The sequence below is a fragment of the Homo sapiens genome, chromosome 3 (assembly GCF_000001405.40).
Source record: "Homo sapiens chromosome 3, GRCh38.p14 Primary Assembly".
NCBI lineage: Eukaryota > Metazoa > Chordata > Mammalia > Primates > Hominidae > Homo > Homo sapiens.
The window spans coordinates 134,991,038-135,014,547 of NC_000003.12; the positions used below are offsets into that span (position 1 = coordinate 134,991,038).

The window sequence follows — 23,510 nt, forward strand, 5'->3', positions numbered from 1 at the left end:
ATGCTATGCTGCTATATTTCTTTCTTGTTTTTTCTAAGGCAATTGAGAATGAATTTGCATATTTGCCCTGCCGTTTCTTTTCATTTGTGCTCACATTTAAGGGCAGCTCTGTACAGACCTCTTGTTTGCTCTAATGTGGGCTGGGTAATTCCTCCTTGACTCTGCCCACTTTGTCTGAGGTTCATTTGTCTTTATACCCAAGCCACAGTTTAATTGCCTGGATATGTCTCCTATCTCCCTTTCTGTAACTGTGGAGGAGGGCTGGAAAGTACAGATGCATCGGTGTACAGGCTTTGATGCACTATCACTGTCTTCTCTCTCTCTTAGACTTTGTTAAATACTCGCAACCAGGGCTGGTCTTCCTTGGTTTGAGGTAGTGGTGGGGTAAAGCCTTGGTATTCAAATTGTTTTCCTGCCTCAGAGTGGAGATCTGCAGTTTATGTTTCCATACGGGCATCAGCCCTGAAAAGAAAAATATTTTTAAAAATACCCTCTCAGCATGCTCCTTTCCAGCCCTCCAGATAAAGGGGTCTAGAGGAATTTCTCAGAACTCTAGCTCACTAGTGCTGCTGCCACTGGCTCCATGGACCTCACCCCTTGCCCCAGTGCAAACACTCTCCCCTGGCTGAGCACCCCTACTGAGGGCCTGCTCTTTGTTCCTTGCCTGCCCCACATTTTCTTTCAACTTGAGGCCTTTCCAATATTGATCCCTCTGCCTGGATTGCACCTCCCTTTCTTCCCTCCTCATTCCCTAAGTCAGTCTCACCTGACCCGTCATGTCCCCAGGGAGTCTTGCTGACCCCTCCAATGAGACAGAGTCCCTGTTATTTGCATGCACAGCTCTCTGCTCCCCATGGTAAGTATTTTGCTGCTTCTCCAGGTTGTGGTGTGTGGTTACACTTTTCCAGGACTTCCCTTTGATGGGTAAATCTAGAAGCAGGCCCATTTCTAGGGCTGCTTATTTCCATAATCCTTCTCTACCTGCGACTCCCTCAGCCCCCACTTTTTTTTAGCTGCATTTTAGAAACTTTAAGCTTAGGTCACCTGTGAGGAAAAATTGGCTTTCCTTTTTTAGTTTTTTAAAGGTCACACTCTCAATGAGCTTAATGTTGGGACCAAAAAGACAACACGGGGGGCCAGGGAAGACTGTGATTTATGGTGCTGGGACACTAGCCCAGCACTCAGGGGGTGATCCAGGGAGCAGGCGGGCTGCTCTTGGAGAAGATGACGGCCTGGAGTCTGTTTTCAGGGCCCTGCTCTGTAGGAGTCTCTCATTTCAAGCCATAGGCTGTGGGGCCTTGGCTTTGCCTCTGAGAGAGCCAACCACGCACAGCTCTCTGTGCGCAAAGGACACATGCTGGTCCCAGGACGACATTGCCAAGCCTCCGGTCAGTATGGCAAAGGCAAGTTTGTTTCAGTTCTTGTTTCCTGAGAAAAAGAGGTTGAAGCAAGACAACCATGCCACAAATACTGAGTGAGCATCTGCTACGTGTCAGGCCCTGTCCTAAGCATTTTGAGCACAAGTACAAGGTGATCCCTGCACAGCGGAAGGGTCTTTCCTAGTGCTTTGGCTTCCAAGGTAAATGGCCTCAAAATCCCTGGGGCTCACAGCCTTCAAGTGCCTGCCTAAAGGGAACAGAGTGTGTAGAGTCTGAAAGGGGAGGAGACGGGGAGCCTTGTTGTCTTGTCTCACCCTCTCCACACTGTGAGTTCCCTGAGGGCAAGGCCTGTGTCATTCACCTCTCTACTCACAGTGAGGCAGGAAATGGAACAAAATCTCACCCACTTCCTTATTGCTGTATTTGCTTCCCTGGGTGCTTGAATTCCATCCCTTCTGACCTAAACCACACTGACCCCACTGTCACAGCCCCTGAATACTGGATTTCTAACCCTCATTTCCCTCCAGTGTTTGAGGCTGACTGATGGACTCCCCACTGCCAGCTCCACCAGCCCTGGCCCATCCTCATGTGTCACCTGCCTTGTGAGCTTTTCTGAAAGCTTCTCCTGAGAGTGCACTTGTTCCCAACAGGCATCTCAAAGTCCAGAATGATGTCCTGCCTGGTTGGAAGGGGTCCTGTTCCCCAGTAATCCCCATTAAGAGGTTGCTAGTCTGCAGTTCTTGCTCTGTCTGTTTCTAAGCCAAAACAGCACAGGCAGTTGGCTGCCCTGCTGCCAAAGCAAGGCCTGGGAAGCAATCCAGCCTCATCCTGATGTTAGACGAGCAAGTCCTGGGGAAACAGATAGATCTCATCCTGGCCTCAGAGGGGACAGCTAAATTGTCAAACAGCACACTAATGGGGGCTGCTGACTGCACAGGTATCTCTGGGTTATAAATGCCCAGCACCAGAGAGCCTCCTAAGTCACCAGAGGACAACTTTATGATCCAGAAAGTAAAGAACTGGAACAAGATCAGCTTGTGACAGGGATCAATTGATCGGGGACTGGAGAGAGCTTGGCCCGGGAGTTCAGAACTCCATAAAACTTCCAAGCTCAGCACTTTCTTGGGGGACCTGCACTGGCCCCAGTACAAGGAGCCCAGAAAACTGACTGAGAGCTCTGGAGGGATGTACAGTGTTGGCCTGCAGCATAGATGAGGGCTAGGAAGGAGCTTCCCTGAACTTCCCCAGTTCATTCTGTCACTACTCTCAGCCCAGTTGATTATGAGCCTCCTTTTTGGAAAAGATTTCAGTGGCTCCCCATCACCCTTAAATGTCAGACTAGTCTCCTTGGCATGGCAATCAGGACTTCGTGAGATCTTAGGTTGATGAGCTTGCCAGCTTCATTCACATCTTACAGGGTTTCTACCTCTGTGTTCCAGCCACATTTAAAGTCTTGGGTTTCCCCAGTTGTGATGTAAACTGTCACCTCTGGGCTGTCATACAAGCTGTTGATTTCTTTAGCCTTGAAGGCCATTCTTCCCCACTTTCTATTCATTTGGATTTCTTTCACTGAACCTTCAGGTTTTAGCCCAGATGCCATCTCTTCCATGAAGCCCTCCGGGGTTAGGTACCCCTTCCATGTGCACATAATACGTTCTGTCATGGCACTTGTCACACAGTGTATTTGCATCTTCTGTTTACTTGTCTATCTCCCCAGCAAGATCTTTGTGGGGTGGAGTGGGAAAGGATGTTTATCATTTTATTTATTGTTTTATTCCTAAGCCATCATGCTGCGTCTGACACATGGAGAATATTTGTTGAACAAATAAGCGAATGAATGAATAAATAAATAATATGATAAATATATGAAATATCATGATAGTGGGAAAAAAGTTGGACCCTCCCAGGGCATCCCCTCTCCCTGTCTGCACTGCTTTTGACCCCTGCCCAGCAGGCATCTGAAGCTCTTGAGATACAGTCATCACCCACTGATGCCACATCCCCATCTTCTGTCATCCCGTGCCTGGGAATGTTCTTCTTCCTCACAGTACTTCCAGACTCCTCAAGTCATAGCCTCTTCCACGAAGGACCCTGGAATTTCTTGTCTGGCAAAATACCCATTGTGCCTGCCCCACCCTCAAGGTCTCTCAGTATTCCTTGCATAGCTCTGTCTTCATTTATTATTTTTTTAGAACTGAGGTCTTACTATGTTGCCCAGGCTGGCATTGAACTCCTAGGCTCAAGTGATCCTCCTGCCTCAGCCTCCCATGCAGCTGGGACTTCAGGCACATGCCACAGTGCCCAGCCTATATAGCTATATCTAAGCACTTTCTTTGTTACATTTTCATTGCATATTTTAATGTTTCATTATGGTTTTCTAAAACTTTTTATTGAGATAATTATGTATTCTCACGAAGTTTTAAGAAATATTAAGAAAAACCCATTTACCCTTCATCCAGTTTATGCTAATGGTAACACCTCATGTAACTATAGTACCAAATCATAATCAGGAAATTAACTTTGATACAATTGATTGACTTTAGTCAGATATCACCAGTTTTACATACACTTGTGTGTGTGTGTGTGTGTGTGTGTGTGTATTTAGATCTGTTCAGTTTTATCACATGTAGAGTTGTATGACTACCGCCATAGTCAAGACACAGAACAGTTTCATCACAAGCTTCCCTGGTGATACCCTTTTATAGCCATGGCCAGCACCTTTCCTCCTTCTTCTCCCTGATCACTGACAATCAATGTGTTCTTGATCTCTATAATTTTGTCATTACAAGGTGCTGTATAAATGGAATCATATGGTATGTTACCTTCAGGGATGGGCTTTTTTTTCACTCAACATAATCTCAACCTGGATGGATCTCATTTCCATACAAGTTGTTGTGAATATTAATGGTCCATTCCTTTTATTGCTGAGTAGCATTCTATGGTATGGATGTACTACAGATTGCTTCACCATTCATCCATTGAGAGACATTTGTGTTGTTTCCAGTTTTGGGCAATTAAGAATGAAGCTGCTATAACATTCATGTACATGTTTTTTTATGTGAACATATATTTTGTTTTCATTTTTCTAGAGATGACTAATGAGCATATGAAAGGAAGTTTAACATCATTAGCCATTAGAAAAGTACAAATTAAGACAAATGCAAATTAAGACCACAATGATATATCACTACACAGCAAACAGAATGGCTAAAATAAAAAAAATGATTACAACAAATGCTGGTGAGAATGGAAAAACTGGATTACATCCATTGCTAGTGGGAATATAAAATGGTACAACCACTTTAAAAAAGAATATCACTGTTTCTTACAAACCTAAACATGTGCATATCATGTGACCCAGCAATTGAAGTCTTGATAATTTTAATTGTATTTTAAAACAAGTTTTTAAAAATGTATATGTAATTCATATTCATGGTAGAAGTAGAAATACAAATAAACATAAAGAAACTATCTCCTATAATACTGCTATGTAGACATAACTACTACTAATATATTGGTATAATGTGCATGTATTATTTTGATAAAAAATTATGCCATAATGCTTTATGACTTTTTTTTACAATATATCATTTCTCTCCTTCATGTGAATGGATGTCCATGCTATCATGTTAACATTTGCCTTATATTAAATTTAGCAACTTATTTCACTAAACTTAGACATCTAGGTAATTTCAATCTCCTAATAATAATCAACAATATCTACTAATTAGGTTCCTTATTTACATATTTTTGGTAACTTAATGAATAATATTCTTTTATTTATTTATTTATTTGAAAACAGGGTATCACTCTGCCACCCAGGTGGGAGTGCAGTGGTGCAATCATGGCTCACTGCAGCCTCATCCTCCCAGGCTTGGGCAATCCTCCAACTTCAGCCTCCCAAGTAGCTGGGACTGCAGGCACACAACACCACACCCAGCCAATTTTTTGTAGAGATGGGGTTTTGCCATGTTACCCAGGCTACTCTTGAGCACTTGGGTTCAAGTGATCTGTCCACCTCAGTTTCCCAAAGTGCTGGGATTTACAGCCATGCGCCACCATGCTGGGCCATAATAGATAATATTCTTAAGATAAATCCAACACGTAGAAGTTTTGGATTAAAGTTTTTCTCATTTTTAAGGCTTTTAATAAAAATTCCCAATGGCTGTTTAGCAATGCTATACTGATGAGCCCTTCATATCCCAGCTGCCCATGAGAGTGACTGCTTCTTCCTAGTATTTCCAACAATGATCATTGTAATTCTTTTGATTATTTGTTAGTCTGATAGCTGAAAAACGTTAAATCTTAGTTATATTAATTTGGATCTTAAAAATTGATTGCCAGTTGGACTAAAAAACTTATTTGTATTTCTTCTATCTTGAATGCCTGTTCATATTCTTTACCCATTTTTCTATTTAGTTGCATGAATAAACCTTTGTCATGTATATTTCATTTCTTTTGAGTGTCATAATTTGTTTTAGGCCTGTAGTTTTTTAGCAAAATTTAACATTTTTAATGTAGTTTGATCTATCAGTCTTTTTCCTTATGTGCTTTTCCCTTTGGTTCCTTCTTTGGAAGTTCCTCCTCACTCTAAAGTTGTATAAATGGTCATCTGTGTTTTATCATACTACTTTTATGGCACAATTTTTAATTTAAGTATTTAATCCAGCAGGGATTCATTTAGGGATTGGATATAAAGTAGGGATTTAGCTTGTTTCCCAGTAGCTAACTTGTGTCTCAGCCTCATTCCTTGGGAAATTGATCCTTCACCACTGATTGAAAAGGTCTCCTTTGTTATTGTCTATGTTTCATCACTTCTCAGGTCTGCTGTCTCTCAGAAATGTCTAAAGCCACCTTATTCAGCTTGTGAATAGCCTGCATTCTCTCTGACATTATCTTAATTTTCCAGGATATGTCTGGGGTCTCCTTCTGGTGATTTTTCCTGGTGAGCTCATCTGTCTGTAGGCAGAAACCTTTATCTTTAATTCAGTAACATTTTATTACACTATGTCTTTCATTTCTCTTCTTTATTTGTGGTACATTCTATTTTAGGAATCTTTATTGTCTGCCTGTGGTTCTTCATTCTCTCTGTTTTCCAAATCTTTCACCTTCTGCCCAATTGTTTTAATTTCTTTCATATTTGCTTTCTACATTACTGACTTGATGTTCTGAAGCTTCAGTACTACTCTTTCCTCCCTGCAAAGTGGCTTTGTTTCTGCTATAACGTTTTTAGTTTCCTTACTATTCTTCCGTTTTGGATAAACCTTCCTTTTCATCTAAACCTGCTTATTTTCCTCTCTTGTGACTTTCTCTCCCTCTGACTTAGAGGTCATGCCTTCTTGTGCACTCCTGAAAAAGCAAACAGTTTCCTGAATTTTTCTTCTCAATTCTGCAGTATCTCATTTTTAGAGGTATGCTCTTCCTCTCACACAGTAGAATGGTGTTCCCATTCCTGCAGTAGCTGGTATTTTCCCTATTCTATTTTAAGCAAAATGGACTTTGCTGAGACCCAGTGAGGTTTTATAGGCGGGGTTAATAGCTTATTCTAGGACTCCATTTCTGCTCTCTTTCAGGGTGATTTAATTATCTTCTCAGTTTGCACCAGCTGTGGAGGAGATCAATGTGTGTAGGTCTTAGTTCAATTTCTCATACCTGAAATGCTTTCTCTTGATGTATCTCTGCTCTGCTCAGGTGGCACGGCAGATCTAAAGCATCTGGTTCTTCAGTTCTTCTGGTCTGATGCAATATGTGAAAAATACAGTTTCCTGCATGCACCACTTCTGGGTCATGACTGTCTTTACCCCCTCTCACAGAGTGCTTTTCCCATAGGACCACTTCTAGGTTCTCAGAAGGCATTGCACCATTTCTAGTCCTTGGGTAGCTATGCTGTGTATAGATGTTTTCTGGGCAAGGAAGAGAATGTAAGTCATGAAGTGAAAACTTTCTTGACTCACAACATAGCCCAGTTCCTCATTGGTAGTAGCCCTGGGTCTCTAAGGCAGGGCAGAAGCTGGACTTTATTACCTTTTTCTTCATGCAATCTCTGTTTTAGGCAGTAGAGTTAGGATGAGCATGTACTAAGTCTGGGGAGGTTTTCTCAAACCATCTCTGATGCAGATACCACCCATTCTGACACTGGGTTATATGTCAGTATTAAAGATAGGTTGTTGTGAAGTTTCAACATTTTTCTGACACTATAATAAATTTGCTAAAAAATGTGTGAATGCTTTGGGGATACCATCCCCATTTTGAGCTAGAAACTTCTTAATATATTGCGTTAAATCATTTATTCATTTATCTGTCTTTTCCTCCACCATTTGTCTGTGAGGCTTTGAAAGAATTATAATTCACCACTACATCAACAGTGCCTAACACAGTGTCTCATTCATAATATTTGATAGATTTTTAAAATTTATACTGGGATGAGATTGCCAAGGGAGAGAAAGTAGAGAGAGAAAAAGGGATCAAGGATAGGCACTGGGCTTTGAGGGACATGATGGCGACAGGAGGAAGAAGATAAGCCAGGAAGGGAAACAAAGAAGTCACAGTCAGAGAGGCAGGAAGAGAGCAGAGCCGGAAGCACAAGGCTGCACAGGCTGACTGGGCTGGGAAGACAGGTCCATGGCATCAGTGTCAGCCAGGTGGCTATGCAGGGTAGTGAGTCAAGTAAACCCGATACCTGGTCAGTCACTGGTGATGGTTAATTTCAGAACCATGATGGAGACAACCCCTTCCCTAGTTGGAAGGCTGAGTGGGTTGAGAAAGTGGAAGCAGTTAGGCATAGATTTAAAAACAAAAGGGAAAGAAAAAAAGAGAGCTTGAGAGAAAATCAGCATGCCGGAAGGTTTTTTGAGTTACTGTTGTTGGAATGGGGAAGATTTGATCAGCTTCATATCTTAAGGGAAGGTGATTGTGACTAGAAACAGCAATTTGCCAGACAGAGAAGGGATATTTGAAAAAGCCATTCTGAGTCTAATCTGAAGAGGATAAAATCAGATATGAGGAGAGAAGGGATGGTCTGAAAATTCCTTGAGAACAAGGGCTGCTTCTTACCAGAACTGGTGAGGGCCCCAAGCAAGGAAAGTGCAGGTGACTTGGATGCAGAAATACTGTGGACTGTGGTAAAAATATATTCAGGTGAGAAGGAAAGACGGTGAGCTGCTCACTCCTCACCTCCTGCATCTTAGTAAAGGAGGAAGGATCATCTTCAGAGGAGAAGAAGGGCTGGGCACAGCCCAGGCTTTATGAAGAAGGAAAAAGAAGGATGAGAGGATTGCCTGGCAGCTCCCAGGCCCAGGCTAGGAGCAGAAGAAGCTTGTAGACATGTTATGGGGCAGTACTACCAGAGAGCCTATAAAGCGTCTTGCCTCAGGTGGCCTTGTGACTCTGTGGTAACATTGACTGGCTTTCTGGGAGGCTAAGGAAAGCTTTTAAAAGTGGCCTTGATTAAGCCAGGAAGGAGGATCTCCCTTGGACCAAGGTCTGCTCTTTCTCACTTTTCTTGCAGGGTATTGCTCCATACTTCTGTCTCCAAAGATGTTAAGTACATAGGCTGCAGGCACACAATGCACTCTGTGGAGATGCTCCTTGTCCTGGGTCCTCTGGTCCCCAGGCTGGTACTCACCAGACATGGAAAGTAGTTCTCTCACCCCTATGCATCCTGCCCACCTCCTCACTGGAAATTTACTTCTCCAGGAACTAACTTGAATCTTTCAACTAGACTGGCTTAGCACTGCCAGCTGGATAAGAAAGCTGCATGTGAAAAACCTAGCTTTGAAATGGAAAGATAGCCTGCTGTTGAAAAATGAGGTCTCTCTTAATTAGAGAATTAATCAATTAATAAATACAGCATCTTTTGACAGACTTCTGTGTGTCAGGTGTTGACACCATAGAGGTGATGAGGCATCATCTCTGCCCATGAGAAGGGTACATATAGCTCAATACAGGAAACTGACAGAAAGACCTTTAAGAGGGAAAAAAATCATTCCATGGGGGAAATAGTCCATTTAAATGAGAGGCAGAGGGATAGATTAAGTGACAGCTGAAGCCCTATCCCAAGCAAGTCATTTTATTATAAAACAGGACCTGCAAATTGGCTTTTCTTTTTCGTATTCTTCCTCACCTTTTCAAACAAATAATTAATCATGCAAAAATAACGCAACACATTCTAGAACTCAATTCCTAGTACTACTCTCCAGAGTACTTGAACCGTGTCCTGGGGTTGGCATTGTTACAAAAACTCTTGATGAGAATAATGCCTGATATTGTGCAATTGTGTGCAGTTGGCCCGTCTTGCATGGTTCTGTGTATGCACATCAATTACACACATTTGTTATAATTTGCCTTTTTAAAAATCACACCTTCTATTTCACCCCAAGAAGATAAATGGATCCTGCCTCAGTCCCAGTTCCATTGATTTTTTGTGGTCCTATGGTGAAGCTATTATCAACACTAATCTCAAACCCTGCCAGGAGCCAGGAAGGCCTTAGAATACAGAACACCAATTTCTGCAACTTCCACCTTATTTTTCTTTTCATAGACTTTTGTTCTGACTCCCCTCCTCATCTCATTTTCAAATATGATTTGATTATCATCATGTGAGGTCTGTTCAGCTGGCTCGGAGCAGACACCTTTTCCATGTATCTGGCCTGGAGGAGGAGGGTGTCAGAGGCCTTTCCTGATTGAGTGCTGATCCTCCTTGGGGCAGGGTGTTCTTGCAACTTTGAAGACTCACTCCATGGCCTCTGTCTCCAGCAGTGTGAAGCATGAACAGCCAGGCGGGGGAGCCTGCACCTTCCATCTTGCAGCTCTCCAAATTACTTTTCTGGGGAGGAGAGGAAGAAAAGAAGAAATGGGGGATTGGAATCAAGAGGCTACAAGGCATCTGGGAGGTTGCTAACAGTGAGCTCTGTGTTTGAAGATGGGGTGGCAGTGGCGATGTGTCCAGGGCTTGCAGGGATAAATGTCGGCTGGTCCCCTGCCTCCATCTCCCAGGGCTGTTCTATAGCCTCATGGCTGTCAAACACTCCCACCTGCTGCTGGACCCATGACCACACTCAGGACTTTAAAAGATCATATGCCAATTTAAAGTATTGACAAATTTTGAGAAGGTAAAACATTCAGTTCATTAAAATATTTCCAAAGGGCATATAGCAAAGCCTTCCCTCACCACTAACCCCAGGCCCAATGGCCTCCCAGAGCACCACTCTCACTGGCTTTTGTGGAGGCTTCCAGGGACAGCCTAGGTGTCGGGCATGCACTCAGTTCTTCCCTTTGCTGCTGCTGCTGCTGCTTCCTTCTTGCCTCCTCTATGTTATCCTTCTCTTCCTCCTCCTTCTTTCCTCATAATGTATCTTATAGATGATTCCATACCAAGACTCATAAACCTGCCTCATTATAAAGAGTTGCATAGTATCCTCATGTATGGATGTACCATAACTTATTTAACTAGTCTCCTATTAATAGTTGTTGTGGTTGTTTTCCATCTTTTTGTCATCAAAAAGAATGCTGTCCAAAAGAACTGAAAGCAGAGACTTGAACATATCATTTGTACAGCAACATTCACAGCAGCATTATTCACAATAGGCAAAAGGTAGGAACAATCCAACTCTTCATCAAGAGATGAATCGATAAACAAAATGTGGTATATATATTGAATGGCATACTATCCAGCCATAAAAATGAATGAAATGTTGATGTATGCTGTAATATGGATGGACCTTGAAAACAATATTCAGTACTGACATGTTTTGGGTCTATGTCCCCACCCAAATCTCCTCTCAAATTGTAATCTCCATGGGTCCAGAGAGGGAGGTGATTGAATTATGGGGGCATTTATTGATTTGCATATATTGAACCAGCCTTGCATCCCAGGGATGAAGCCCACTTGATCATGGTGCATAAGCTTTTTGATGTGCTGCTGGATTCGTTTTGCCAGTATTTTATTGAGGATTTTTGCATCAATGTTCATCAAGGATATTGGTGATATTGGTCTAAAATTCTCTTTGTTGGTTGTGTCTCTGCCCGGCTTTGGTATCAGAATGATGCTGGCCTCATAAAATGAGTTAGGGAGGATTTCCTCTTTTTCTATTGATTGGAATAGTTTCAGAAGGAATGGTACCAGTTCCTCCTTGTACCTCTGGTAGAATTTGGCTGTGAATCCATCTGGTCCTGGACTCTTTTTGGTTGGTAAGCTATTGATTATTGCCACAACTTCAGATCCTGTTATTGGTCTATTCAGAGATTCAACTTCTTCCTGGTTTAGTCTTGGGAGAGTGTATGTGTGAAGGAATTTATCCATTTCTTCTAGATTTTCTAGTTTATTTGCGTAGAGGTGTTTGTAGTATTCTCTGATGGTAGTTTGTATTTCTGTGGGATCAGTGGTGATATCCCCTTTATCATTTTTTATTGCGTCTATTTGATTCTTCTCTCTTTTTTTCTTTATTAGTCTTGCTAGCGGTCTATCAATTTTGTTGATCCTTTCAAAAAACCAGCTCCTGGATTCACTAATTTTTTGAAGGGTTTTTTGTGTCTCTATTTCCTTCAGTTCTGCTCTGATTTTAGTTATTTCTTGCCTTCTACTAGCTCTTGAATGTGTTTGCTCTTGCTTTTCTAGCTCTTTTAATTGTGATGTTAGGGTGTCAATTTTTGATCTCTCCTGCTTTCTCTTGTAGGCATTTAGTGCTATAAATTTCCCTCTACACACTGCTTTGAATGTGTCCCAGAGATTCTGGTATGTTGTGTCTTTGTTCTCGTTGGTTTCAAAGAACATCTTTATTTCTGCCTTCATTTCGTTACGTACCCAGTAGTCATTCAGGAGCAGGTTGTTCAGTTTCCATGTAGGTGAGCGGTTTTGAGTGAGATTCTTAATCCTGAGTTCTAGTTTGATTGCACTGTGGTCTGAGAGATAGTTTGTTACAATTTCTGTTCTTTTACCTTTGCTGAGGAGAGCTTTACTTCCAAGTATGTGGTCAATTTTGGAATAGGTGTGGTGTGGTGCTGAAAAAAATGTATATTCTGTTGATTTGGGGTGGAGAGTTCTGTAGATGTCTATTAGGTCTGCTTGGTGCAGAGCTGAGTTCAATTCCTGGGTATCCTTGTTGACTTTCTGTCTCGTTGATCTGTCTAATGTTGACAGTGGGGTGTTAAAGTCTCCCATTATTAATGTGTGGGAGTCTAAATCTCTTTGTAGGTCACTCAGGACTTGCTTTATGAATCTGGGTGCTCCTGTATTGGGTGCATACATATTTAGGATAGTTAGCTCTTCTTGCTGAATTGATCCCTTTACCATTATGTAATGGCCTTCTTTGTCTCTTTTGATCTTTGTTGGTTTAAAGTCTGTTTTATCAGAGACTAGGATTGCAACCCCCGCCTTTTTTTGTTTTCCATTTGCTTGGTAGATCTTCCTCCATCCTTTTATTTTGAGCCTATGTGTGTCTCTGCACGTGAGATGGGTTTCCTGATACAGCACACTGATGGGTCTTGACTCTTTATCCAATTTGCCAGTCTGTGTCTTTTAATTGGAGCATTTAGTCCATTTACATTTAAAGTTAATAGTGTTATGTGTGAATTTGATCCTGTCATTATGATGTTAGCTGGTTATTTTGCTTGTTAGTTGATGTAGTTTCTTCCTAGTCTCGATGGTCTTTTCATTTTGGCATGATTTTGCAGCAGCTGGTACTGGTTGTTCCTTTCCATGTTTAGCGCTTCCTTCAGAAGCTCTTTTAGGGCAGGCCTGGTGGTGACAAAATCTCTCAGCATTTGCTTGTCTGTAAAGTATTTTATTTCTCCTTCACTTATGAAGCTTAGTTTGGCTGGATATGAAATTCTGGGTTGAAAATTCTTTTCTTTAAGAATGTTGAATATTGGCCCCCACTCTCTTCTGGCTTGTAGGGTTTCTGCCGAGAGATCTGCTGTTAGTCTGATGGTCTTCCCTTTGAGGGTAACCCGACCTTTCTCTCTGGCTGCCCTTAACATTTTTTCCTTCATTTCAACTTTGGTGAATCTGACACTTATGTGTCTTGGAGTTGCTCTTCTCCAGGAGTATCTTTGTGGCGTTCTCTGTATTTCCTGAATCTGAACGTTGGCCTGCCTTGCTAGATTTGGGAAGTTCTCCTGGATAATATCCTGCAGAGTGTTTTCCAACTTGGTTCCATTCTCCCCATCACTTTCAGGTATACCAATCAGAGGTAGATTTTGTCTTTTCACATAGTCCCATATTTCTTGGAGGCTTTGCTCGTTTCTTTTTATTCTTTTTTCTCTAAACTTCCCTTCTCGCTTCATTTCATTCATTTCATCTTCCATTACTGATACCCTTTCTTCCAGTTGATTGCATCGGCTCCTGAGGCTTCTGCATTCTTCACGTAGTTCTCGAGCCTTGGTTTTCAGCTCCATCAGCTCCTTTAAGCACTTCTCTGTATTGGTTATTCTAGTTATATATTCTTCTAAATTTTTTTCAAAGTTTTCAACTTCTTTGCCTTTGGTTTGAATGTCCTCCCATAGCTCAGAGTAATTTGATCGTCTGAAGCCTTCTTCTCTCAGCTCATCAAAGTCATTCTCCGTCCAGCTTTGTTCCGTTGCTGGTGAGGAGCTGCGTTCCTTTGCAGGAGGAGAGGCGCTCTGCTTTTTAGAGTTTCCATTTTTTCTGTTCTGTTTTTTCCCCATCTTTGTGGTTTTATCCACTTTTGGTCTTTGATGATGGTGATGTACAGATGGGTTTTTGGTGTGGATGTCCTTTCTGTTTGTTAGTTTTCCTTCTAACAGACAGGACCCTCAGCTGCAGGTCTGTTGGAGTACCCTGCAGTGTGAAGTGTCAGTGTGCCCCTGCTGGGGGGTGCCTCCCAGTTAGGCTGGTCAGGGGTCAGGGTCAGGGACCCACTTGAGGAGGCAGTCTGCCCATTCTCAGATCTCTAGCTGCGTGCTGGGAGAACCACTGCTCTCTTCAAAGCTGTCAGACAGGGACATTTTAGTCTGCAGAGGAGACTGCTGTCTTTTTGTTTGTCTGTGCCCTGCCCCCAGAGGTGGAGCCTACAGAGGCAGGCAGGCCTCCTTGAGCTGTGGTGGGCTCCACCCAGTTAGAGCTTCCTGGCTGCTTTGTTTACCTAAGCAAGCCTGGGCAATGGTGGGCGCCCCTCCCCCAGCCTCGCTGCTGCCTTGCAGTTTGATCTCAGACTGCTGTGCTAGCAATCAGCGAGACTCCGTGGGTGTAGGACCCTCCGAGCCAGGTGCGGGATATAATCTCCTGGTGCGCTGTTTTTTAAGCCCGTCGGAAAAGCGCAGTATTCGGGTGGGAGTGTCCCGATTTTCCAGGTGCCGTCCATCACCCCTTTCTTTGATTAGGAAAGGGAACTCCCTGACCCCTTGTGCTTCCCGAGTGAGGCAATGCCTTGCCCTGCTTCGGCTCGCGCACGGTGCACGCACCCACTGACCTGCGCCCACTGTCTGGCACTCCCTAGTGAGATGAACCCAGTACCTCAGATGGAAATGCAGAAATCACCTGTCTTCTGTGTCGCTCAGGCTGGGAGCTGTAGACCGGAGCTGTTCCTATTCGGCCATCTTGGCTCCTCCCCACATCTGATGGTTTTATAGGCATCTGGTATTTCTCCTGCTCACTCTTCTCTCTCCTGCCAACTTTTGAAGAAGGTCCTTGCTTCCCCTTCACCTTCCGCCATGATTGTAAGTTTCCTGAGGCCTCCCCAGCCATGTGGAACTGTGAGTCAATTAAACCTCTTTCCTTTATAAATTAACCAGTCTTAGGTATTTCTGTACAGCAGTGTAAGAACGGACTAATACAAGTACTAAGTGAAAGAAGCCAGACACAGAAGGACAAATATTGTATGATTCCACTTATATGGGGAAGAAGAGGCAAATTCATAGAGACAGAAAGTAGAACAGAGGTTACTACGGGCAGATGGGGAGTTATTGTTTAATGAGTACAGAATTTCGTGTTGGGGATGATGAAAATGTTCTGGATATAGATAGTGGTGGTGGTGATATAATATTGTGAATGGATTTAATGCAACTAAGTTATATTCTTACAAATGGTTAAAATGATAAATATTTAGTTACAGTATTTTGCACCATAAAAATGACAATAAAAGATTGAAATGTTTTGCCAAAGCCTAAGAAAGAGAATGATGCAAAGTAGCATATACCTGTAATCCTAGCTACTTGGGAGGCTGAGAGAGGAAGATTGCTTAACCCCAAAAGTTCAAGTGCAGTCTGGGCAACATAGTGAGACACTGTTTCTAAAAAGAGAGAGAATGAGAGGAGAATGCTGCAGTGAACATCCTTGTACAATAGAGTGCTCTGTAGGAATCCAAATATATCTATACGGTACATTCCCAGAAATGGGGTTACAAAGTGGGAAAGTGTATGCATTTTAAATTTTGATATATGATGCCAAGTTTTTTTTTTTCAAAATATTGTGCTAGATAATGCTCGAACCCATGAAGTATGAGGGTTGACCATTAGCTAGTATCAAATATTTTGATCTTTGCCACCCCGACAGCTGAAACATGGTACCCTTGTAGATTTAACTTGCATTTCTCTTCTGGGCTTATGCTATGTGAATGGAGGTGAGACCCAATGGATCAGGAGTCACTTTGGTTCCAGATCAAGGCAGAAACAGGTCAGGAGCAGCCTAGAGGCAAAAGGAAGGCTGGCTGCCTGGGATATGAAAGATCTGATTTAGTCTACCTCCTTTTCAGTTTCCCACTACCTGCCTCAACTTTATCATGTGATTCATAGGACCATGGAATAGCACCTTGAAAGAGGACCTGAGGGTCCCAGCTGCCTAACGCAGTAGCAATTCTCTAGACACTCCCTTACCTCCCTTGCAGAGCCTGGGTACACAGCTAATGACAGGAAGTTCACTTTTTTTCTGATTGTTGGAAAGATTGTTTCATCAAATGCACCTTCTGGTGGTCTCCAGCCCCTAATCTTAGACTTTCTGAAGAACCAGACACTCTTCTGTTAGTAGTTCTTAGGCCAATTACCTGCAAAAATAAAGCCCGAAATAATGGCAAGTGGATTCATGAATAAATGAATGATGTGCAAACTCCAGTCACTGTTGTTCGTATTATCTTGTGGCTTCCATAACAATACAGAACTCTTTGGAAGGGATGTCCTTAATTCAGAGGATAGTGAGTGGGCCTTTTCTGGGATGCAGACTCACCCTAGGTCATGGCAGGAAGTGCATATTCACCTGCACACCTCCATCTCCTTCACATATTGTGCTGCAAAGCCAAGGCTCCCGATTTATAATTTACATTTGTCCTGTATAAAGAGCACCTTCTCTTGGCTTCAATCCAGAATTTCAATCCCCACGTGATCAGTCTGAATCTTAACTCCCCAGCATTTTAGTCATTCTTCCAGCTTTCTGTCACTTCCTGATTTGATATACATCTTGTTAAATACTTTTCCTCTACTTCATGGATTAAGCTGTTGATCAGGTCAGGACGAAGGGCAGCACCAGGCGATGACATCCCATTTCTCAGGGATGACGGGACACAGTTATTTAACAGAATTATTACTAAGGGGATGGCCGAGGCCCCAGCCAGCCTTCACATCCGTGACAAAATCATGAGGGGAGGCTCAAATGCTCTGCTGAAATCAGGACAACTGAGATTGTGGGAGGAGGCAGGGGACAAAACAGGAAAGCTACTATTGGCGCCTGAGCTCTAACTACCAAGGAAGAACTAGATGGTTAACTAGATGGGGGCATGCAGGGCAAAGCATCAGCTTGGTACATGGAACAGAAAGAAGAGAGGAGGCTGGTTGCATTCAGACACGTAGATAGAATTAAGGAATAATCATAACAAACATATACATAGTGCTTACTATGTGTCCTATGCACACTTACAATGTGAACTCATTTGATTCCCAAGCATTCCTATAAGGCAAATATCATTATTATCCCCATTTTACAGATGAGGATGCTGAAGCACAGAGAAAGGTTAAATAGTTTCCCTGAGTCATGCTACTGGGGTTTAAACCTAAACAGGCTGGCTACAGAGTGTGTTCTTAAGCATTTCACTCTATGGCCTTGAAAAGCTCAGCCTCCATGATATTATCAAATGAATTTCAAAGAATGCACTGGCATGTTCAGCCAGCACACTCTTTGAAAGTGGATTTGAAACACGCTAGGGATTCTAGTTCCCAGGGCAGTTTCTTTAGGACCAGCAGTCCCTTGTGGAATCTTCTCTCAGCAAAATGGGAGAGGTGAAAATTGCTGCTATGAGGAGCAGTTAAATAATCTGTCTCAAAGGGTGTCTCGTTGTGCTCTGAATGTGTAAATGGCATTTCCTAGTTGAGTGGAAATGGCATGGGGCCATCCGAGAGAAGAGCTGGATCCAGGGAAGGCTTGACCACCACCTAGCACCTTGGCCTTTATTTGCTCCATCTTTGGAAAGATGAGGCTGACCCAAGGACAACTTCAGTGTAGTTATTTTACTTAAGAAAGAGTTCAGTGTGTCTTGAGATGGAGGAACACAACTCACATGTCTGGGTGTTAGAAAGATTGAGTGCATTCAGTGCGGCCAGGCCCTTCACTGGGCAGGTGTGGTCACAGGGGCGTGGACTTATGGATCCCATCCTACTCTGTTGCAGAGTCCCAGGGCCATGGGTTGCCTGGAAGGAAAGGAACAGCATAAACCCCCATCCCTCCTTGTCTGACTGGGAGGAATATGGATGCAGGAGCAGATGTGAGGGTAGTGATTAGAAACCCTGGCTGCAATGAAAGCCACCAGGAAAGGTTTGAGGCCCTCTGATGCCTGGCCCATCTCCAGAGTTGGATTCAGTTCCCTCTGACTCACCTGACAGCGGCTGAAGTCTACAGGCCCCAGAGCCATGAGGAGGACAGGGCCTGGGCTTTAATATTTTTACTAACGTTCCCTGGGTGATTCTGATAACCACCAAAATTTAAGAACCATTGGTCTGGGGTCTGGCTCAGAAAGTCATGTATTAAAGGGCCTGGGTGTCTTATTATGCAGCTCAGCTACTATAATTTGGGGGCTTTCCTGTATCTGTAGATGATGTATCCTGTATCTTTGAGATGCAGAAAACAGAAAAGTACAGAGAAAGAAAGGCAGGCCTTGGTGAGCCCAAGCAGGGGCAAAAAATACCAAGCTTCTCCCACTGCCAAAGCTGCAGGCACTGAGCCTGAGGGCCCCCAGGCCCTGGAGAGACAGAGGGTTTGCAACTACCTGAGAAGCTTCCTAACAGAAGGCATTGCTAAGATTTTCTAACATCCTAATGCAGAAGCAGTGTTTAGTGATGGGGAGCAGGTCACATTTTAGGCAGCTTATCACCCAATTTGCCTTCTTTTAACCTAGTTTTAATTACCTTTTACTTCAAATTTATGGAATCTGAGTACTACTTAGAGCATTATTTAAATCTGTTCTGTTATGTAAAATAAAAACGTTTCTGATTATGCTTTTAAAGAACTTTTTTGTGTGAAAATAGTAGACGCTATTATTTGCTTTTTAAATCAAGTAATGTACAAAAGTACAAATTTTAAAATGACAAAAAACAATTACTTCAAATTCCACCATCCAGAGGAAATCATTAACATTTGGTGCTGCACAGCTATCCCTCTGATAGAATGATAGCTAATTAGGTGAATTCAAACACATTTACAAAAATAGAAAATTACTGTATATCTTTTTTAAAATTAAAAGCAATATAATTTGATTTGAATTTAATAGATTAAAAAATTAAAATGAAAGTGCAAAAATTGCTAAAGTTCAAAAATGTTTTTCTTCATTACAAGTTATTTTAATTTCTGTAAAGTTTTTTGGGTAGAGTAAAGATGAGATTTATTCACATTTTAAAAATTTCACAGTATCCCTTGATTTCCTACTTCCTCTCCTTCCCTCATCCCCCTACTCTGGATTTCTTATGTTACTACTTTTACATTGATGAGATGTGTAGCTGTTACATTCTGTTCTCTGCCATAATACACAGGCATTTTTTTTCTTATCCACTCAGCTGCCATTGCCTGTTCTTCCACTATGGTTTCTTTGTCCTAGAAAAGTGGTTCTTAAGGTTTAAAGAGTATATTAAGTGCTTGGGTATTTTGTTAGAATAAGAATTCTGGTGCAGTGAGTCTGAGGTGGGCCCTGAGGGTCTGTATTTTTTTCTGTTTTTTTTTTTTTTTTTTTTTTTACGCAGAGTTTCACTCTTGTTGCCCAGGCTGCAGTGCAATGGCACGATCTTGGCTCACTGCAACCTCTGACTCCCAGGTTCAAGCGATTCTCCTGCCTCATCCTCGCAGGTAGCTGGGACTACAGGCAAGCGCCACCACGCCTAGCTAATTTTTGTATTTTTAGTAGAGATGGGATTTCACCATCTTGGCCAGGCTGGTCTCGAACTCCGGACCTCGTGATCCACCTACCTCGGCCTCCAAAAGTGCTGGGATTACAGGAGTGAGCCACCGTGCCCGGCCGAGGGTCTGTATTTCTAACACCTGCCCCCAACCTCCATGATGTCAGTACTGCTGCTGCAAGAGCCACACTTGGATAAACAAGTTCTAACATTTTTGGTTTATGTTACTTTTTGTTTGACCAGATTCCCAGATTCCATTTTCAGGTTATTCGCCACCCACCTCCCACCCTCCATAGCTCACTGGTGCTCTGTTCCCTGAAGTTTTGAGAATGCTTGAATCTTCTTGCCTATTTGTGTACATGGGGTTGCAGGGGCAACCTGCCTGGGTTTATATACATGGGTCACATAAATTAAAATTCCTTTGCTCAGAATTCATGGACATTGCTTCAGTGTCTTATGGCATTGAACGTGGTCAGCTGAACATGGCATTGCAGTGGTCAGTTTTAGGGCAGGCCTCATTTTTACTTCTTTTAGGTCATTTGATTTTTTTCTACCTGGATGTCAAGAAGATTCCTTCTTTATCCTGGAGATTTAGTAATTTCACCAGGATGCATCTTGATTTTATCTTAGGATGTATTTTGACTTTTTCAAATGGCAGTTCCAAGACTTTAATTCAAGAAGCCTTTCTTCTGTGTGTTTTTGAATAGTTTTCTGTTATATTTGTTGGTGTTCTCCTCTCCAGAGTATGAATGAAGCGCGTGTCGTGGGATGCCCAGGAGTGTGCCTTCTGCTGAGGGTGCTGGGGGTCGTAGCCACTGAGGCTGCTGCTCTGCCTGCTTCATACTCTGTTCTGGAAGTTTCTTTCAGCCAGGAGGCAGTGAAGATGGGAGTGGGGGAAACAGAGACAGAAAGAACACCCTCTGAGCTATCCCACAGGTCCCCACACTTCCCTTACAACATGTGGCTGTCTTATTACTGCAGGGCCTCTCAGGATGCAACATTTGCCTTTAGAGAAACCCAAATCTGGGCCAAAGTCTGAGGAGGTGTGAGTCTGCTTTCATTGTTCTTCCAAATTCCAGTGCATTTTCTACTAGGTGGTTTGTAATGCCACCATTTCTTTATTTTCGTGAAGATTGATTTTTCTCTTTTTTCCTATCTCCTGTTTTGAAGGGTGTCAAGAGAATAGGGTATAGAAAAACTGTATCCTGACAATGCAGTCCAGATTTTTTTTACTGGATAAAGCAATACTAACTTGATTTTCATATTCTTTCCTTTTGGCTATTCCATGCCAGAGAGAGTCTGTCAGAGTCTTCTATATACGTAATGAGGGACCACTTGATCTGGTGGCAGTGATTCAAACTGAAGGTGCCTTGTCCTGAAGGAATCAATAATCTCTGAATAATACAATGTATAAATTCAGTACCACCAAGCAATTACTGGGCAATCAGGACTGTCACTGCTCCAGGACAGAGTAGTGCTCAGCTGAGCACATCAGGGCATTCTTTGCTCCCAAGGCATCAACATTGCAGCTTGGTGTTTGTGCTTGGTGTGCATTTGGCTGCCATGTGGCAGTGGGCTGGTGTGTGCTCAGTAAGCACAGCCAGTCCTCAAGGCTGACTTCCTGGAATAGCACATGGTGGCAGTCAGTGAAGCGGCCGCTCACTCATGGCTGGCTTGTACACACACACTTAGAACATCCTCCGTCAGTTGCCTTGTTCTGGAATGTTCATGAAGGTGTGTAGCTTATTAAAACAAGAAAAATACCCTTCATTTATACATTTACCTAGAGACATGACAGAGGACATAGAGAGCTTCAGAAAAACTTCATTTTCCCCTACTTTTCAGTCTTGGCCAAGGCCAGATTGTGGTTCAAATTTGTTGGATTTAGTTGGCATATTTCTTTCTTGTTTCCCCAATTAACATGGCTAATAGAGGGATACATGCCAGGAGGTGCCTGGCTCTCTGTCCCCACTGCCCTGTCTCCTGCAGCTGTAGGAGGTCAAGCCTGTGAGGATCCCCCAAGCCAACTCCCTCAGAGGGAGAATAAACATCAGCTCAAGCTTCTCAGCTTATTCTCTGCAAAGGCTATTTTATTGGCAAATGGTGAACTAGCAGAAACTCTGAATCCACTGATCCAGATCCTTGAGTAAAAGCCACATACACCCAGCATTTCATATAATATATGTATTTGCATGTACATATTTTATTGAAAACCAGGGACTTTGCTGGAAGTATTTAAAGGTAACCAAAATCTGCCTTTTGCAGTACATTTCCAAGCTGAGACATCATAATAGATGTGGCACCTGATGATTTCAGAACGAAAGCCTTTCAACCTCCAAAATCATCCCCACCTTTACACTACTTACGAATGGGCCAAACGGGATGGGGAGTCATTTCCGTTTATCAGAAGGAAAGCTGACAGCACAGGAATGCAGTCACTTGCCTACCTTGTCTATACCCCAAATGTGAAAAAGGACAACAGTCCCACCCTCTCAGGACCTTAGTAACAGGAATATCGGGATTGAGTGAGTAGCAGAGGTTTGCCCCTGCACCGTCATTGTGTGGTCTACCCCTGCAGTGCCAACTCTGCAGTGCCCACATCTCTCATCAGGACAGCTGTAGAGTCATTGCCTGCCTGTCAGGGGGAGTGGGAAATGAGCAGATTGCAGACACTGGGAGGTAGCGGCCTGACCTGCTATATCACCACCGCATACCGAGGAATCCGTATGTCGGAAGACACATCTGGGAGAGTTAGCGGGTGATTTAGACAGACAATCTTAGGGTGAGAGCAGAGAGACAGAAAAGGAGGCATCAACCACTGGGCTGAGAATCCTGGGGCCAAGTTGCTTTAGGAAAGGCAACCACTTTCAGTGGTTTATAGTCCATATTACAACCACCCAGCCCGCCCAGCTTGGAACAACTTAGCTCTATAAGGGGGCTAATCTTATTTCCAAATATATTCCCAAAGAGAATGTCCACAACCTCCCTTGGTAACCAGAGGCTAAAGTTACAACTGCAACAGTGTTTCCTCTTGGCTGTGGATGTTAGCACATTGTAAACACTTGAATATATGACTAACTCAATTACACATCAATCAAGAGAGCTTATTCCTGCTTGAATTCAGGTACTTTAAAAAAGTCTGATGGAAACAGTGATTCTGAAGGTTGAAGATGAGATTCTATGCTGTGATGACCCTATGTCTAATGGTGGTGGTGGAAACACTACCCACAATCCAAATGTTCATTCCTGCTTGAGTCGGGAGCCATGGGGATGGGATTCTTGGGGTGGGAAAGGTGGAGCTGGGTTATTGGGAGGAGGAGGTCTGCCCTGTGAGAGTGCCAGGAAATCCAAAGGGCCCAGGTGGTCTTCCCTCCTACTTCTGGGGAGCTAGGATGTGGGCACCTGATCTCAAACCAGCTACCTGGATGCTCCTGACTCGGGCTTTGATTGTTAATGGAGGGAATTGAAGATTCAGGGAGAATTGAGACATCTGCAACTGCATCAAGTGTTTGGAGGGTGGGCAGGGACAGAAGCGCCATCCAGAATGTCCAGCCAGGTCACTCAGTCCCTGTGGTGTGGCCCATGCTCTATGGCCCAGCCCGACTTGATTCTGAGAACTGCTTCAAAGCTTTCCAAAAGGGGGCCTTCCTTTTCTGTTTCTTTTATTCACAGTTCATTTCTGTTGCTTATAATCAGAAATCCTAACTGATACAAGAGTGGTGCTGAGTTTTGAGTTATCCAGGTATTTATTTAGTAGGGGAAGGCTGCTTCTAGCAGGAAGACCATACATACTGAGTGGACTGATAA

The 23,510-nt window shown here is 43.1% G+C and overlaps 1 protein-coding gene across 1 annotated transcript in view, besides 2 other annotated features; it reads left to right on the forward strand.

Moving 5' to 3' along the window:
* The window catches only part of EPHB1 (EPH receptor B1), a 465,208-nt gene that overhangs the window by 195,778 nt on the left and 245,920 nt on the right, over positions 1-23,510 (forward strand). The window lies entirely within an intron of this gene.
* Positions 14,091-14,591: an enhancer, noted in NCBI's record as "H3K4me1 hESC enhancer chr3:134723970-134724470 (GRCh37/hg19 assembly coordinates)". NCBI's record gives its function as "activates a minimal SCP1, AML or CMV promoter by ChIP-STARR-seq in naive H9 embryonic stem cells {active_cell/tissue: H9 hESC(naive)}" and the evidence as "EXISTENCE:reporter gene assay evidence [ECO:0000049][PMID:30033119]".
* Positions 14,592-15,092: an enhancer, noted in NCBI's record as "H3K4me1 hESC enhancer chr3:134724471-134724971 (GRCh37/hg19 assembly coordinates)". NCBI's record gives its function as "activates a minimal SCP1, AML or CMV promoter by ChIP-STARR-seq in naive H9 embryonic stem cells {active_cell/tissue: H9 hESC(naive)}" and the evidence as "EXISTENCE:reporter gene assay evidence [ECO:0000049][PMID:30033119]".